Genomic DNA, 19,250 nt, shown 5'->3' with positions numbered 1-19,250 from the left:
CCTAAGTCCTAAGAGAGAATAAACTTCTAACTTGTTAAAGCCATCTGACTTGGATCTCGATTATAACAGATAAATTAATTCAGCTGGTTAAGGAGTTTGGTGTTACCTTATAAGCACTTAGAGCCACTAAATATAGTCTGATTTTTAAAAGATTGCTTTAGCAGAAAAATAGTGGACAGAGACAAAAAGTTTAAAGATCATCTTTACAATTTGGGTAAGTGAAGGTGATGCCTAGTCTAAGGCAGTGACTGATATGAGAATGTAGAGGAGGGGATAAAAGTGAGAGATGTAAAATAAGGTAGAATTGATAGGATTTTGTCACCAGTAGAAATAAAATGATAGTTGTAAGGGAAGAATTTAAGATGATTCCAAGGTTTCTGGCTTAGGTGACTGAGTAGTAGACAGTGATGCCTTTCATGACTTTTAATGAGTGCTAGGAGGCTTTTTCTTTCATTTCTTTGGGAAATCAATGAAGACTAATAAATTCAGTGTTGGCAAAATATTTATTTCCTATCCCTGTGACTTTAGGCTTTGTTGTTCTAAAAGTCTAGTTTCAAAGAGACGAACACATCCACTAGGGGACACAACAAATGATTCCACTAACCTGAAGTTGAGACCCCAACTTTACTCTGAAGTTCCAAATCAAGAGGCAATGGAGAGGGTTACTGTATTCACTGGGGATAACTGACCCTAACTTTCAAGAGGAATTTGAGTGACTATTGCACAATACAGGTGAAGTGAAGTGTGTCTGAAATGCAAGAGATCCTCTAGGACATCTCTTAGTATTTCCCATGTCCTGAGATTCAAGTCCACGGAAAATTGCAAAGGGTTTTGTAGAACTGCAAACAGCAGAAGTAATTCAGAAAGAACTGCTAATAGCCCATATCTTTCAAGAATGAAAGCCTGGGTCACCCCATGAGGCAAGGAATCCGAACTGGCTGAAGTACTTACTTAGAGCAAAGGGAATATGGAATGAGTAGTGGAAGAACATATATACCAGCTATGACCACATGACCATTGCAGAAATATGGACTACAATAGTTACAAATATTTCTTCCTTAATTTGATATATTTGTGTTTAAATATGTGTGTGTGTGTGTGTGTGTGTATTAACCAAATATTTTTTGGTTCATTAGTTTTCTTCCTTATTATCTAACATGTGTTAATAAGAGTTAACCTTATATTTCAGTATTTAAGTTACAGAACATGAAAGAGGGAGTGTGAATCAGGTGGAGAAGGATGAACTAATATTATCTTAAAGACAAAAAAAAAAGACTTTGTGTGCTTTTCTGGGGAAAGAGAATGTTTTTGGTTGTCCAGCAATAAATGTCTCATGTTAGGTGTGAAAATCTCCCTGTGACCCAACCTAATCAGAAACATATGGGAAAGACTGCCAGGCACGGTGGCTCACGCCTGTAATCCCAGCACTTTGGGACGCGGAGGCGAGTGGATCACTTGAGGTCAGGAGTTAGAGACCAGCCTGGCCAACATGGTGAAACCCTGTCTCTACTAATAGAAAACTTAAGCTGGGCATGGTGGCGTGTGCCTATAATCCCAGCTACTCGGAAGGCAGAGGTAGGAGAATCACTTGAACCCAAGAGGTGGAGAATGCAGTGAGCCTGAGGTGGTGCCACTGCACTCCAGCCTGGGTGACAAAGTGAGACTTTGTCTCAAAAAAAAAAGAGAGAGAAAGGGAATTTTGGGAAATGGAGTTTAGCTCAGCCAAGTTGACCTTTTACAAACCCATTGCAAGGAACTCAAAAATACACAAACCCATAATAAACAGAGAGAGGAGGTAATCAGAAGATGAAAATCTTGTTTGTACATTCTGAAAGACAAAGAACAAATATGAGTGGTAACTTACAGAGCAGGAAGAAACCAGTTTAGAGTACTGATGGCAGAAAGGGATAAAATCAAAAGAAGGCTGGCTTGCCCAGAGAACCTCAGAGAAGGTCAGGATTCTCAGACACTAGGGGGTGCTAGGGAAGGAAAGGAGTAAAACTTGGGGCTAAAAATACGTAAATCTATATTCGGAACCATCAACCAGCCTTTCCTTAGGCTGAATGTCTCTTAAATCCTTGAATTTGAGAGTCCCCTAGCAGTAGTAACAGTTCCTTACCCTATTCACATAAAGCAGAAACCTGACAGGTAACAAGCCCCTCTCATATACACAGAGCTCCCAATCAGTTTGTCAGTGTCTTCCATGCTTAAACATAAATGCACAGCCAAGGATTGCTAGATATTTGAGGAACACGTCCAAAATGAAAGAAAAACTAAAGATAAATAAATAGGATCTGAATTTGGAGAAAACAGAATGCAAAAAGCAGAAAAGAACTTTCAACTCAAATTGTTATCCTCAGAGAGATTCTTAAAGAGACTGCATCTATAAATCAAGAACAATGTGCTATTTATAAAAAAGATCAACGCCAGAAGAACCACAGAAAAAAAAATTTCCAATTCTCAAAATAAAAGATGCAATAAAGGACTAGAAGTTAAAGTATCTCAGGAAGTACAACAAAATGTAAGATAAAAGGCACAAAGATAATCAATCCAACAGATCCAAAATCCTACTAATGAAGAGTTCCAGAAACAGAAAACGAGAGAAAAAAAATGAATGAAGAAATAGCACAAAGAAATGTCCCAAAGTTAAGAGATTCCAATCTCTAGACAGAAAGGGGCCAGCATACTGACTACTCAGTACAATTAATAATAAAACTAAATAAGCAAACAAAAAACACTGAAATTTCAGAATACCAGAGATTTTTTAAGTTTGGGAGAGAGGAGGTCACCAAAACAGGAAAAGAATCAGAACAGTATAACACCTACACAATGTGATAGAACAAAATAGAACAATGATCCTAAAACCTTGAGGAATAATTATCTTCAACATCATATTTTATATCCAAATTAGCAAGTAAGTGTGAGATTAGAATAAAGACATTGTCAGATACAGGACGACTCAGAAAATTTACCCCTCACCCACACTTCCTTAGCAAGTTACTTGAGCATGCACTCCAGGAAATGGAGGTACTGAATGGTAACAGGAAGCCATGAGATTCGATAAACAGCAAATCACATTCCGGAGGGTCAGCAAGGGGAATGCTGTAGTTAACACCCATATGGCAGAGTGTTGAGGAAGAACGAAAACTTTATTTTTCAGGACAGTTAAATAAATATGTAATATCTAAAATGTGTAAGTGTTTAAGTAGTGAAAAGGGCAACATAATTATTTAGTGCTATGAAGATGGCGACCAAAAGAAACAGCTAAATAATTGAAAGAGGATGCCATTGGCAAAAACATTTGGAGGGCATGGAGCAGTGGGTGGCCATTTGGCCCAATTTTTTTAAACCATGCATATGAATCACTTTGATAAAAATGTAAACTGTATCTCTTTAAAGGGCACAGAGAGAGGATTAGCTCTCATCAGAAGGGCCGCTTCTCCTGAGACTACAAGATTATGAGCATGCTAAGTAAAGCTAAGGGTTAGAAGTGAGATGTTTTACTGGGCTTGATAGGTAAACTTGATTTCCTGTAAGGCAGGAAGCTAAATTATAAATATAATGCAAAATAAAAATGTTTGCTAAGATTGAGAAAGCAGCACTAGAGTAGATGGTCTATGCGAAGTAGTGAAGGCTTGGCAGAGCTATAATGGGCAAAGGCGAAAGAAGGTGACCAGAAACTTGTCAAAGTATATACATCACAATGCTAAGGATGGAGAGTATATATTTACAGAAGGAAAAAAAAGTATGCCGCTTTAGGGCTTGTGAAGGTGTGGTTCCTTTCTCGGAATTACACTTATTAATTTAAAGTGCCTCAATAATATATCAGATCATTAAAGTTGTATAAAATCATTTGCTATGTATTAAATGTAGCAATTATTTGTTCACATAAGTGATAAAAGAAGACTATCTTCCACAATGTACAAGAGTCCATGAGAGACCTTATTAACATGTTATCTAGTATTCTAATCAAATTCTAAATATGAGCAAAGTCCCTTCCTAACAAAATTGTGAATGCCTTGAGAATTTTATCCATGACTGACATTTTGGAAGAAGCAACTTTCACTGAACACATACTGATTGTCAGGTAATGAGCTGGTGCTAAAAAGAGAGTCATGCCTAACCTCAAGGAGTTCACTGTCCACAGGAAGAGTGAGACAATTAACTCAACAATTAGAACAGAATTTGATAAATATGGAACATGTTTGTCTTGCTAACCAAAGTATTCCCAATGTCTGATTTCATTAAATAATCCCAATCTGTAATTACTGAAGTGCTGCCCCAGGGCAGGAAAAATAGGAATAAATAAAGCAAAGAATGGCAAGAAGGGAATTCCAGACAAAGAAAAGAGCATGTGTAAAAGCCAGAAGAAAGGACAAAGGAAGTAGGAGGCATTAAAAGGTGTGCAGATAAGAGGACATGGCAGAAGGGTTGAAAGGGTAGGGTGCTTTGTTTTCAGACCAAATTGCTGATCAACAGCCAAGGCCCATCATTTTATTTTCATTCTGGGGGCCAGAAATTGTTGAAACCATTTGAAATACACTTTCAACACTACATATAAATGGCAAATATTTATCACTATTTGATTTTTTTTTGTCCTTTTCTGAGACAGGGTCTCACTCTGTCACCCAGGCTGGAATGAAGTGGCATGATCCTAGCTCACTGCAGCCTAGACTTCCTGGGTTCCAGTGATCCTCCCACCTCAGTCCCCCGAGTAGCTGGGACCACAGGTGCCTGCCACCATGCCTGGCTAATTTTTTATGTCACCAGGCTCGGATAATTTTTGTATTTTTGGTAGAGATGCGGATTCACCAAGTTGCCCAGGCTGGTCTCAAATTCCTGAGCTCAAGTAATCCACCTGCCTCAGCCTCCCACAGCGCTAGGATTACAGGCATGAGCCACTGCACCTGTCTATTACTGGACTTTCAAATTTTCAAAGTTCAAAGATGTTACAAAATGACAGACTCAAAACCGTTTTCATTTATAAAACTAGAGACCTTTTAAGGCTTTGTAACAAATATATCAAGAGATACTCATATTAAAAATCTGTATGAAAATAAGCCACCTTTAAATATAATGAAATACTATGACCCTTTTGACATATAAAAACATGTATTTAAAATATAGTAGAAACATTACATAAATTCACTAAATACAATCACATAAAAACGCATGCATTGTACCTTGGTAAGATAAAAAGAAAAATAAGCAAATATCTGGTTTTAAGTATTTAGAAAGTGTTTATTTGTATAGTTAAGTGTGTTATAAATCTCTTAAAAAACCCCTAAAACTAGGTATAAATACCTTAGAATTATAAAAATTTCAAAATTTGATATAAAACTCCAAAATGTAAAAACCTAAGAGGTATGATGCAGTTATACAAATACTTTTAAAGAAGGTATTTTATGTATTATACTATTTGCAGAAACATATTAAAATTAACAAACCATGGGAATTACAAGATACCAAATTTTGGAATTAAATTCCTTCCTGTTTTCTTTTCACGTGAAATAGCACCTGTTTTCTAAATATGTATAACCAAGGTCCTAAAATTAAAATTCCCAAAGATAAGTTATCACTATAAACAAGAACAACCATAACAAATGGAAATATAAAGAAAACCTATAGCACTCACAGTCCCTTACTAATCCTAGTAAGATAGCTATAGAATGGAAAAAGTCCACAATTCCAATCCTAAAGCCAGTCAAAACATAGTTGTGACTGATCAGAAGCCTTGATATTATAAAGATTTCAATTCTTCCTCCAAATGGTCAATGGATTCTATGCAATGCTCATCAAAATTCTAGCAGGTTTTTGAAAACTGACAAGCTGATTCTAATAAGAATAATCAAGACAATCTAGAACAGGGGTCAGCAAACTATGGCCTATGTTCCAAATACAGTTAAAAGTGATCTTTTTTACATTCTTGAAGGTTTAAAAAAAAAAAAAGGCTGCACATGGTGGCTCATGTCTGTAATACCAACACTTTGGAAGGCCAAGGTGGGCAGATGGCCTGAGCCCAGGAGTTTGAGACCAGCCTGGACAACACAGGCAGATCCCATCTCTACAAAAAATAACGTAGCCAAGCATGGTGGGACACATCTACAGTTCCAGCTACATGGGAGGCTGATGTGGGAGGACTGCTTGAGCCCAGGAGGTCAAAGTTGTAATGAGTTGTGATCCTGCCACTGCATTCTAGCCTGGGCAACAGAGTAAAGACCCTGCCTCAATAAAATTTTTTTTAAATGTGAAAAAAAAAAAAAAAAGAAAAGAAAGAAAAATATTTAACAGAGACCAAATGTGACCCACAAGGCCTACAAATATTTACCACCTGGCCCTTTATAAAAAGCTTGCCAGGCCAGGGATGATGGCTCACACCGGTAATCCCAGCACCCAGGGAGGCCAAGGCAGATGGATCACCTGAGGTCAGGAGTTCGAGACCAGCCTGGCCAAAACAGTGAAACCCCATCTGTACTAAAAACACAAAAATTAGCCGGGCATGGTGGTGCACACCTATAATCCCAGCTACTTGGGAAGCTGAGACAGGAGAATCGCTTGAACCCAGGAGGCAGTGGTTGCAGTGAGCGCCACTGCACTCCAGCCTGGGTGACAGACTGAGACTCCGTCTCAAGAAAAAATAAAAAAGAAAGCTTGCCAATCCCTTATCTAGAAGCACAGAATTGGAGGACCTACACTAACAGATAAATTTATTGTAAAGCTACAGTAATTAAAATATGACACTAATGCAAAGACAGACAAATAGACCACAGGAATGGAGAGTCCAGAAACAAACTCATTTAAACATTGAATTTATGATGAAGTCACTGCAAAGTAGTAGGGATGACTTCTTCAGTAAATGGTGTTGGGGTGAACTGGATAGTTATTCGGAAAAAATAAACATTGACCCCTACCTCACGCTATATAAAATCAGTTTTATATGGAGTATTGATTTAAAAATAAAAGGTTAAAGAAATAAAAGAAGAAAAAGTAAATAATAATACTTGTAGCCTTACGGTTTCTTTTCTTTCTTTTTTTTTGAGTCAGGATCTCACTATGTTGCCTACGTTGGAGTGCAGTGCACAGCTCACTGCTGCCTTGGCCTCCCAGGCTCAAGCGATCCTCCCACCTCAGCCTCCCACATAACTGGGACCACAGGCACATGCCACCAAGCCTGGCTAATTTTTTACTTTTTGTAGAGACAGGGTCTCACTATGTTGCCCAAGCTGGTCTCAAATTCCTAACCTCAAGCAATCCTCCTGCCTCAGCCCCGCAAAGGGCTGGAATTATAGGTGTGTGAGCCACCATGCCCAGCTGACAATATATTTCTAAGAACAGAAAGGAAATGTGGTGTGGTAATTCACTTAGTTATTAAACAGGAAGGACCTTATCTTATCACATATTTTGTGGCAAGAACCTGGACCATCTCAATTTGCTAAAAGGATATGTGACAGAAGGCCAGGCGCGGTGGCTCACGCCTGTAATCCCAGCACTTTGAGAGGCCGAGGCGGGTGGATCACGAGGCCAGGAGATCGAGACCATCCTGGCTAACACGGTGAAACCCCGTCTCTACTAAAAATGCAAAAAATTAGCCAGGCGTGGCGGTGGGCACCTGTAGTTCCAGCTACTTGGGAGGCTGAAGCAGGAGAATGGCGTGAACCTGGGAGGTGGAGCTTGTAGTGAGCTGAGATTGCGCCACTGCACTCCAGCCTGGGCGACAGAGCGAGACTCCATCTCAAAAAAAAAGAAAAAAAAAAAGGGTATGTGACAGAATTATTTCATCTTTTAAGATGTTTGTGTGCCCAAATTTAATGGATGAAAAGAGTTTGTCTTTAACATTTTTTTCACTATCCCTTTATTTTTATTTTTGAGACAGACTCTCACTCCGTCACCCAGGCTGGAGTACAGTGGTGCAGTTCTGCAACCTCTGCCACCCAGCTTCAAGCAATTCTCATGCCTCAGCCTCCTGAGTAGCTGAGATTGCAGGTGTGCACAACCATGCTCAGCTAATTTTTGTATTTTTAGTAAAGACAGGGTTTTCCCATGTTGGCCTGGCTGGTCTCAAACTCCTGACCTCAAGTGATCCGCTCGCCTAGGCCTCCCAAAGTACTGAGATTACAGATGTGAGCCACCATGCCCGGCCCCTTTATTCTTAAATTCTGTAAATTATTTGTAAAATTACTTTAAACTTTAAAATACAAAGGGTCCATTGGACCTAAAAGGTAAACGGTAAAGACTACTTTTCTACTATACTGAGATCAAACTGTCTTACTGCAGCGTTTAGTTTCTTTTTTTTTTTTGAGACGGAATCTCGTTCTCGCTCTGTCACTCTGTCGCCCAGGCTGGAGTGTAGTGACTCGATCTCGGCTCACTGCATCCTCCACCTCTGCATTCAAGTGATTCTTGTGCCTCGGCCTCCCGAGTAGCTGGAATTACAAGCGTGCACCACCATGCCTAGCTAATTTTTGTATTTTTGGTAGAGCTGGGGCTTCACCATGTTGGCCACGCTGGTCTCAAACTCCTGACCTCAAGTGATCTGCCCGCGTCAGCCTCCCAAAGTGCTGGGATTACAGGCATGAGCCACTGTACCCAGCATGCAGCGTTTACATTCAAGTGCTCATTAAGAAAATAAAAAGTCCTGCAGTGAGAAATTTGTAATACATATAATGGATAAAAAACTGATGTGTAGAATTCACAAAGAACTCCTACAAAATCAGTAAGACATAAAACCTAGTCAAAAAATGGGAAAAAGACTTGAATCAGCATTTCATAAAAGAGGAAATACAAATTAACAATAATCAAATAAAAAAAGTGAAACCTCATTAGTCATCAGGGAAATGTAAATTAAATCCATTATCATGATACCACTAAACATCCACTAGGATTGCTAAACCTTAAAAGTTTAACAATACCAAGTGTTGATAAGGATGCAAAAAAACTGAAACACTGAAACACTGCTGGTGAGAATATAAACTGAAACAACCACTTTGGAAAAATGTTTAACAATACCCATTAACGCAGAACATGTATATACTCTATAATCAGGCAATTCCAATCCTTAATAGATATCCAAACAAAATTAAACACACACAAACAAACACATACATCTAAAGGGACACATACAGCATCAAAAGACACACAGCAGCACTTTTCATAATAACCAAAAAACTTCAATGACCATTAATATTAAAATGGATAAACAGATTGTGTTATATTCATACAATGAACTATTGTACAGGAACGGGAATAAACTACTACTACACACAACATGGATGACTCTCACAATAATACAATGTCAAGTGAAAGATGCCAGACTCATGAGTACATACAGTATTATTTCACTCACATGAAGTTCAAAAATAGGCAAAACTAATCTATGGCTCAGTATAGCAGTTATCTTTGGGGTATTAGAAAATAACTGAGGGGGATGAGGGAGATTTCTTGGGCACCAGTAATTCCTATTTCTTGATCTAGTAGTGATACCATGTGTGCCTTTTTTTTTTTTTTTTTTTTTGAGACGGAGTCTCACTCTGTCACCCAGGATGGAGTAGAGTGGCACGATCTTGGCTCACTGCAACCTCCGCCTCCCGGGTTCAAGCAATTCTCCTGCCTCAGCCTCCCAAGTAGCTGGGACTACAGGCGCATGTTACCATGCCAGCTAATTTTAGTATTTTTTAGTAGAGATGGGGTTTCACCATATTGACCAGGCTGGTCTCGAACTCTTAACCTCATGATCCGCTCCCCCCTCAGCCTCCCAAAGTGCTGGGATTACAGGCATGAGCAACCGCACCTGGCCAATGTGTGTCTTTATTTTGTGAAAATTCACTAAGCTGAACACTTAAAATTGTGCACTTCTCTGTTACGTTTCAATAAGTTTTATTATATGTGAAAAAAAAGGTCCTGGAAAACCAACATCCATTGATATGACAGTTTTCTGGACCAACGGTAGTCTTCTGGAAGACTGAGTGAATCCAATGATATACACAGTGTCAAAACAGCTCCCCTAGACTCTCAACAATGTGATATGTTATTTACATGTCATGCAGTTTTGTCACATGACTTTTTAGAAATCTCGTTTTTATAAAGCAGCTTAAATCTGGATTTTGCAAAAACTCAAAGCCATTTACAGTACTTTATTTGTAACAGCATGTTATCAGTAAATTTGTTTAGTTGTGTTCTAAACTCTTGTTTTTCTAATCAGCTTTGATTATTTAAAAAAAGTGGCTTCTCATATCAGTTATATGTTTGATAGCAAAATCTGAATTAGAAATACAAGAAGTTCACAGGTTTCCTTAATAGTATAGATTATTCTTACCTCAGTCTTGTTCACTCACTAACCAGCTTCCCACTGATTTTTTACCTAGTTACACTGGAGAAAAAGAACTATGCCTGGGTAACAGTCCCAAACTATACTCTATAAGGGCTGAGTGAGCAAAAGCAGCAGGGGGTGACTGAAATGGCAATGACATAAGCTAGTTAGGGGAAACGTTTTCAAAACAAGGTGGATAATGTGAGTAGGATCCAATTCAAGGATTAAAAAGCCATCCTTATCAAAGCTGCAGATGAAAATGCTGAAGAGGGATATCACATACCTAAAACAATATAATCATCATTGACCAAGATTTCAGCAGACTGAAATGATGGTGCAAACCTAACTAGAAAACAATCTAAAGAGAAATGTAAAGTCTTAGAAAAAGGAACAAGAAAAACAAAAACAAAAAACCAACCACACAAGTTCAGGATAAGAGAGACTTGGCTTAATAAAAGCTAATGTGAAAAAGACCTGGGAAGCTAGATTGATGTTAAGTTCAACAAGAGTCAACACTGTGAGAGTGCTGAAAAAAACAAACAAAAAAGCAATTTGTTAAGCTATACAATATAAGCACATTATTTATAATGAAGTTGGTACTAGGCCCATGCTCCTCTGCATCTGAAGTAAGTGTTCATTCTGAAGGAGACTAACAAACTAAAGGCCCTTCAAAGGACAGTGAGCAGTACAGCAGGATGAGGTTAGAAACAATGTTAAGATGAAAAGAATCTGAGTTGTGATTGGCAGAGCAAACTGGGTGAGGTAGGGTGAGGGAGACATGAGGGTAATAGTTTTTAAATAACTGTAGTGACATGCTGTAGAAGAGGCATAGGATAATTCATTCTGTGTTGCTCCAGAGGCAAATCTAGAATCAACAGATAAAAGTTAAAGAATCACATTTAGGTTCAATGTAAAAAACAAACTTTCTAGAATCAATGCCTTATATGGCAGTGTTCCTAATCACAATGCCAATGTTAAGCATACAACTGCTCATCACAGAAAGTACAATGGACTTAAAGTGGGTCAGAAGTCCTTGGATTCTAATCTCATCTTGACCATTTACTAGCTGTGTTATATGAGGCAAGGTATTTACAACCTCTCTGAATCTCAGCTTTTCTTATGTATTTATTTACCTCCTGATATCACTAAGAGGAATAAATAAGATGATATGTGCAAGACTCATTGTGACAAACTGAAATGGAATACAAACGTGCGTTGCCGTAGACAGATATATTAGATAATTGCTAATATCCTCCCAGCACAGAGATTATTAACTTGAGAAGTTATTTTCTTCTGAAGACAAAACTTAAAATAGGTCCTAAATTCACACAGCCAAGATTTAGTAGGCAAAGAGAGAAAATATTAACATGACGGAAATCAAGGGAGCAGGAAATGTATGTTTCATGAGGTGTTAAGAATGTACTTCTCTGATAGCAAATTAGTTACCAGATCTAAAAGGCAATGCTCATTCCAGGAGATTAAGAACGAATTCAAATCAAGATGATACACATGCCAAATAAGCACTGACAGTATAGGCTTGAATCATGGCAGTAAACAGAGCTTAAATAGTACTTTTGCTTTGGGGACCCTCTAGACTCAACTGTACCTATTCTGGGGTTCTACTCACTCTGCTAAATAATCCTGACTGAGCAAGTTACGCAGTCCTCTCAGTGCCATTTTGTTAAGAGTAAATGGAGAATAATCTGCCTACTTCACAGGTTGTTGAGAAGACTTCCATGAGATAATAATGTGTGTAAAGTCTCTAGCAAGGCTTCTTGGTACACAGAGGAATTCATGTTAATTGCCCTTTCTCTTAACTTTGATTGTGGATGGAGTTTTGTGCCACACTGCTTTCAGAATTATAAGCTTGGGGAATAAAAGATATATTTTGTTTTCAAATGTTAAAATGAGGTTGAAAAAAATGATGATGTAGATCCACTGATACTGAGATGAAAATCTAAGCAATACGCAGATTGGTGGAAAAATAAGTTATAAGATAATCTACTCAGTATGATCCCATTTCTGCAACATATATTTTTAAAATGATTCTCTCCAGATGGTGGAATTAGGTGACTTTCACTTTTTTCTACACTTTTCTGTAATGTTTGAATTTTGTATAAGGAGTACCCATTTCTACTACAATTCCCAACTGAGAAAAAAACTGATTAAAGTATTTTTCTGGCTGAGCGTGGTGGCTCACACCTGTAATCCCAGCACTTTGGGAGGCCACGGCAGGCAGGGAGGCCAAGGCAGGAGGATCGCTTGAGCCCAGGAGTTTGAGACCAGCCTGGTCAACATAGGAAGATCCCCATCTCTACGAAGTATTTTTTAAAAACTGGCCAGATGTGTTGGTGCGCACCTCTGGTCCCAGCCACCTGGGAGGCTGAGGTGGGAGGACTGCTTGAACCCAGGAGGAAGAGGCTGCACTGAGCCATAATTCTATCACTGCACACTAGCCTGGGTGAAAAACCGAGACCCTGTCTCAAAAAATAATAATAATTTCCATAGAAAAGTTATCATTTAGGTCAACTTGGGGAGAAAAATCTATTTTTACAAACTTGGAAAAAATGAATTTAACAGTTTTTAGAAGGTAAAGAGAAAAAACTTACACACCAGCAATTTTTTTTCTTTCTAAATATGTTGTTCAGGATAAACAGAAGTATCTCCTTAACTGGGGAAAATATAAAGGATGTAAGCTCCATGGGGGCAGGAATTTTATGTGTTCTGCTATATTCACTGCTCTAAGTACAAGAGCAGGAACTTAAATATTTGCTGAATGGATAAAATAAAAGTCCTACTTACCTTATGCTAAATTTCACTGCCTCAAGCCAGTAGAATATTGGCTTATTCATCTTTATCTCTAACAACTAACAAATTATCTAACAAATAGTAATTGCCAATTCAATTATTTGTCAAATGAATGAAAAAGCAAACAAAAGATAAAGTTTAATATTATTTTTAAAGCTAATAAGTCAATACAAAATGATTAGCATTACTCTACAATACTACATTCATTCTGGATTATAATCTCTACATATAGGACAAAAGCAGAGACATCAAAGAAATGGGGGCATGTTACCTTTTCTAGATTACATACGTGATGTCTTAACAAGCAGACAATATAAGTACAAAGAGAGTATAAACATTGTATAAATGAAGCTTTTTATACCATCGAGAACCAAATAGCCTAAGTCAATAAAATAGCCAAACCAAAAAAAAAGAGAAAAAAAAGCAGACCTACCTTGGGCCTCTTGGACTTTCCAAGTAACTACTTCTAGGAGGATCTGGAAGCAGGCCACCTGATCTCACTGGCATGTCCTTCACTGCAGTGATTGGCTGAGATGGAGCAGCTGAAGACTCCCCAAGTCCTTGATCAGATGAGAATGAACTGTATGGCAGAGCAGACTTGCTCAAAGGAGCTTTTGAATTCACTTGTTCTGATGGACCAGCTGATTGCAACGGAGGATGGTAAGTTGTCGGTGGGGCAGAACCAAAAGACACAGGAGTAGGAAGCAGTGCTGGTCTAGGTTTCTCTGGAACTTGCGAGCTCTGTGAACTGGAGGCTGGTGGAACTGGGGCTGCTGTTAACTGAGGAGGTATCCCTTGTGGAACTCCAGGGGGAGGTATTCCTGGAGGAGGTGTAGCTGAAGACAATGGTGGGAGGGGCATGACAGGTGGAGGTGCTGTTGAAGAGAGAGATGGTGGGGGAAGAACTGGTGGTGGCCCTGCAGAAGACAGGGAAGGTGGGGGGAGAACTGGTGGTGGCCCTGCAGAAGAGAGAGAAGGAGGCATCCCTGGTGGGGGAACAGAGGTTGGTAGAGAAGGTGGCATAACAGGTGGGGGCATGCCAGGTGGTGGCACTGTAGCAGGGAGGGCAGGGGGCATCACTGGTGGTGGCAATGAAGGAGGCAACACTGGAGGGGGCATTGTAGGTAGAGGTGGAGGCATCTGAGAATATGGAACAAAAGGAGGTGGCATTGACATGTTCCCCATATACTGGTTCTTCATGTTCTGAAATGAATTGACTTTCTCCTGGAGATAGCTCTGAGTGGCTTTCATATGTCCCTGCCATGTTTTCCACTGCTTCTCATACTCCTGAAGCTGATCTTTATGAGGATAGGAATGGAGTTGTTCCTCCCATAGCTGAAACTCTCGCTCCCATTCTTGGTAAAGATGTTGAAACTGTTGCTGCTGCATCTCATAATGCCGCAGCTGCATATCTACAGACATGGTCTACAAATAAAGGGATAAAAACTATTTAAAACCATTCATATAAGATAATTAATCATAGGTTAAAATATTAATGAATCAAGGGCATTTGACGCTTTAGGAAATTAGAACACTAAAGACTTTGGGAGGCTAAGAATAAGTTCGTTAAGTTCTTTGAGTGATGATCATTCTTCTTCCTTCCTTTGGCTTAGACAACTTACTACAGAGTTGGAAAAACCAACCAAACAATAAAGCAAATACCTATCTTAGCAATAAGTATTTTTCAAGTTTTTAATATGGATAATTTCAAGAACTTGAAAAATGATCTGTTATTATAGATATACAGACACAACATTACCCCTCAAAGATACAACACAAACAAGTATCTAAGTCACTTTATCTTTTACGGTATATTTGCTTAGGTTTTTTGTGATGGCTGTTTTTGGCCTCTTTGCTTATCTGTTACTGTTGTAGTTTACAGGCAAAACACAGGTTAACCTGTAGCTATATGGTAAAAATCCCCAGCTCTTAAGACCCTTAGCAATAGTAAGCTAACATCTGGCCTGGGTTGACATGATCAGGAAACTCTACTATAACCAACCCCTCCCCAGTCCCCCAGGTAATGTGGCAGATAACTACTTGGGCACCCCTTGGGAAACAACTAATTGTCAACAGTTGGTATCTTTTGTTTTTTACACTTAAATCTTTCAAGAATAACAAATCCTTTCAATGTCTTGGGGCAACTTCCTATTGTGGACTATGGAAGCACTTGCCTGTATATGTGGTGGGGGCTGTATAATCTGCTGATACTGTTGTAGAATCTGCTGTAACTGAGTGTGCTTCTGCATTATTCCCTGATACTGGAAACCGACTCGATGCTGCTGGTGCTGCTGCCAGTGTGCTGCTGCAGCCTGCAACTGCTTTAACCTGGCATCTTCTTCTGGGTCCTCAGACTAAAGATAAAAGAGGACACATCTTTATGTAAGTCATAAAACAGCAAGCAAAAATATTTTATAAATGTATTATAAAGTCCAGAATCCCTACAACTCAGAAATATCCAACTGTCAAACACAGTATCTTCAGTTCTTTTTGGATTGAGAACAGCTATTCTATCTTTAGATAAAACACATAGCTCTATCTATACTATTATGGATACTAATACAAAGGAGTTTATAAATTCCATAGTCTTCACTGGAATAATAATCTTATTATTCCTAAATATGACAACAATTTTCCCAGTGGAAAGTGGTCCCAGGCCGGGCACCATGGCTCACACCTGTAATCCCAGAACTTTGGGAGGCCAAGGCGGGTGGATCACTTGAAGTCAGGAGTCCAAGACCAGCCTGGTCAACATGGTGAAACCCCGTCTCTACTAAAAATACAAAAATTAGCCAGGCATGGTGGCAGGTACCTGTAATCTCACCTACTTGGGAGGCTGAGGCCGGAGAATCACTTGAACCTTGGAGGCAGAGGTTGCAGTGAGCCAAGATCGCGTCACTGCACTCCAGCCTGGGCGACAGAGCAAGACTCCATCTCAAAAAAAAAAAAAGGAGGGGAGGGGAGGGGAGGGAAGAGAGGTCCCAGCTACTTGGAAGGCTGAGGCAAGGAGGATCACTTGAGCCTGGGAGGCTGAGGCTGCAGTGAGTTGAGATCACACCACTGCACTCCAGCCTGGGCAACAGAGTGAGACCCTGTCTGGAAAAAAAAAAAAAAAAAGTGAACCTTAAGTTATAGACCTTTTCACTCTATGAAAAATCCGTTTCTTTTTTTGTCACTTTTCACCAATGGACTACAATATAACCATCATGGTTTGATTAAACCCTTCATATAAGGCTCTTGGGAGAACAATGACCTTTGGACCAATATGAGAACCTCCCATGTGCCAGTCACTAAGCTGAGTGACAAGAATTATCACATTTAATGCTTGAATACCTCTATATGATAGCTACTATTGAATATACCCATTTTGCAGAGGAGTAAATTGAAGCACAGAATGGTTAACAAATTTGCCCAGTCACTACTGGCAAGTGGCAGTACCTGGATTATAGCCTGGGTAGCTTGACTCTAAAAGCTCAAGCACTCAACTATTGCCCTGTGCTGTCACTATGAACATATGCTGGCATCTTCCTTTAGTGCTTAGAGGCACTCAATTCAGAAGAGTATCCAACTCTTCACTCAAACTAGGAAAAATTTCCTTTTCTAAACCTGATACAACAGGCCAGGCATGGTGGCTCATGCCTGTAATCCAAGCACTTTGGGAGGCCGAAGCAGGTGGATCACTTGAGGTCAGGAGTTCGAAACCAGCCTGGCCAACATGGTGAAACCCCATCTCTACTAAAAAATACAAAAATTAGCCGGTCATGGTGGTGCATGCCTGTCATCCCAGCTACTCAGGAGGCTGAGGCAGAAGAATTGCCTGAACCTGGGAGGCAGAAGTTGCAGTAAGCCAAGATCGCACCATTGCACTCCAGCCTGGTAAACAGAGAGAGACCCTGTCTCAAAATAAATAAACAAACAAATAAACCTGATACAACAGACATCTGATTTCACAAATGCAACTTTATAGGTACCTAAAAAAACAAAAATATATATCCATTTATGATAAAAGTATACTAAATGAATCAGAAAAAAGCTAAATAATTTAATAAACACAAACAATTAATTATATGGTTACCTGGGGTTCCTCAGGTGGGAGAGGAGGTGGCACTTCCTCATTTGGAGGTGGCAATGGGGGCTCCTCAGAAGAAGGAGATTCTGGAACTTGACTGGTGGCAGGTACTGTAACTTCTTCTTTTACCGGCTCTGGTGTATCCTTTGCTACCACAGGACCCTTTTTGTGTCCTGGCAAATGAACTTTTGTCCTCTGTTGCAAACTAAGCAAGTGCTGTCGATACCAATACTGCTGCTGTTCCTACAACAGAAACAATTTTTGAGAATTTTGATTGACAATCATGTATCTCTGCAACTTGGTGTTGACAAGGACCTATCTTTATGTCTGTGTTCATGTGTCTATATGTAAAAAAAGGCAAAGCTAGACTGAGGAAGACAAATAAGTTAACAAGATCTTAAACACAGGCTACAGAAAAATTTCAGTTCCTCCCCCAAATTTATACATTTAAATTAAACCATACATATTAATTCAACATGCTTCTGTACTCTAATAAAACACATGCTTTTGGAGGTAAGAGCCATCTTTTTGATAAATGATCAGGGTAAATCTCTTCAGTATTCACAACTACTTATTTTTAACCTGGCTTCAGTTTGTTCCGATTTATTGACAGGGGTCTTGTAATTAATGAATATAACTGAACAGTCCTACCTCTCTTCTCTGCCTTCTCTCTTTCTCCTCAAGCACTCCTCCCTCTTTTCTTTCTTTTTTTTTTGAGACTGCATCTCACTCTCTCACCCAGGATGGAGTACAATGGCCTGAACATGGCTCACTGAAGCCTCAACCTCCCAGGCTCAAGCAATCCTCCCACCTCAGCCTCCTGAGCAGCTGGGTTCGTAGGCATGCACCATCACGCCCAGCTAATTTTTTTATGTTTTATAGACACAAGGTCTTACTGTGTTGCCCAGGCTGGTCTCAAACTCCTGGGCTCAAGCAATTCTCTTACCTCAGCCTCCCAAAGTGCTGGGATTACAGGTGTGAACCACTGCACCCAGCCTCCTCCCACTTTGAAACACCTGTTGTAGCATTAGTCTACCCATACTCAGATGTACACACATATAAGAGAATATGCTGTACACACATATAAGAGAATATGCTGTGTTTTATTTATTTTTTTTTTTTTGAGATGGAGTCTTGCTCTGTCACCCAGGCTGGAGTGCAGTGGTGTGATCTCGGCTCACTGCAACCTCCACCTCCCAGGTTCAAGTGATTCTCCTGCCTCAGCTTCCCGAGTAGCTGGGATTACAGGCACCCACCACCAAGCCCAGCTAAATTTTTTTATTTTTAGTAGAGATGGGGTTTCACCATGTTGGCCAGGCTGGTCTCGAACTCCTGACCTCAGGTGATCCACGAGCCTCGGCCTCCCAAAGTGCTGGGATTACAGGTGTGAGCCACCGCACCTGGCCAATATACTGTGTTTTAAAATGCTTTCTATTTATTTTAAAAGCCTTAGCTTTATCTTCCAAATTATGCTGTACTTTAATTTTCTGAAAGCTTATTTTGTGCTTTCATTTAAAAATTACAACAATAAGCTTAGTATGGAAATATTAGAAAATATAGCCAATCCTCATTATTCTTGGATTCTGTATTTGCAAATTTGCCTACTTGCTAAAATTTTTTTTTCTTTTTTTGAGACAGGGTCATCTCCCTCTGTCACCCAGGCTGGAGTGTAGTGGTGCAGTTTCAGCTCACTGCCACCTCCGCCTCCTGTGCTCAAATGATCCTCCCGCTTCAACCTCCCGAGTAACTGGGACCACAGGTATGTGCCACCATCTGGATAATTTTTGTATTTTTTGTAGAGACAAGTTTCACCATGTTGCCCAGGCTGGTTTCAAACTCCTGGACTCAAGTGATCCACCTTGGCCTCCCAAAGTGCTGGGATTACAGGCATGAGCCACCACACCCGACCTAAAATTTATTTCTAAACCCAAAATCCATACTCACTGAGCTTTCCCAGTCATTCACAAACATGTGGACAGCAGTGAAAAACATGAGTCCCCTGACTCATGTGTGCATTCCCAGCCGAGATGAAGTGCAAGGTGATGCTCTGCCTTCTTGTTCCAGCTC

General features: G+C 39.7%; 1 protein-coding gene across 6 annotated transcripts in view; it reads right to left on the bottom strand.

Moving 5' to 3' along the window:
• Positions 1-19,250, bottom strand: part of YLPM1 (YLP motif containing 1) — a 74,003-nt gene that overhangs the window by 41,446 nt on the left and 13,307 nt on the right. For all 6 annotated transcript variants that reach the window (XM_011536966.3, NM_019589.3, NM_001411052.1 and 3 more), the window contains 3 exons: positions 17,190-17,426; positions 15,289-15,468; positions 13,548-14,539 (listed from right to left, as the gene is read on the bottom strand). In XM_011536966.3, coding sequence (XP_011535268.1) covers positions 13,548-14,539; positions 15,289-15,363 — 1,067 coding nt within the window. In that variant the 5' untranslated portion in view covers positions 15,364-15,468; positions 17,190-17,426. The remainder of the gene's footprint in view (positions 1-13,547; positions 14,540-15,288; positions 15,469-17,189; positions 17,427-19,250) is intronic.

The sequence above is a fragment of the Homo sapiens genome, chromosome 14 (genome assembly GCF_000001405.40).
Source record: "Homo sapiens chromosome 14, GRCh38.p14 Primary Assembly".
Classification (NCBI taxonomy): Eukaryota; Metazoa; Chordata; class Mammalia; order Primates; family Hominidae; genus Homo; species Homo sapiens.
The sequence above is the reverse complement of the archived record's forward strand: the minus strand, read 5'-3'. Positions and strand labels throughout refer to the sequence as shown.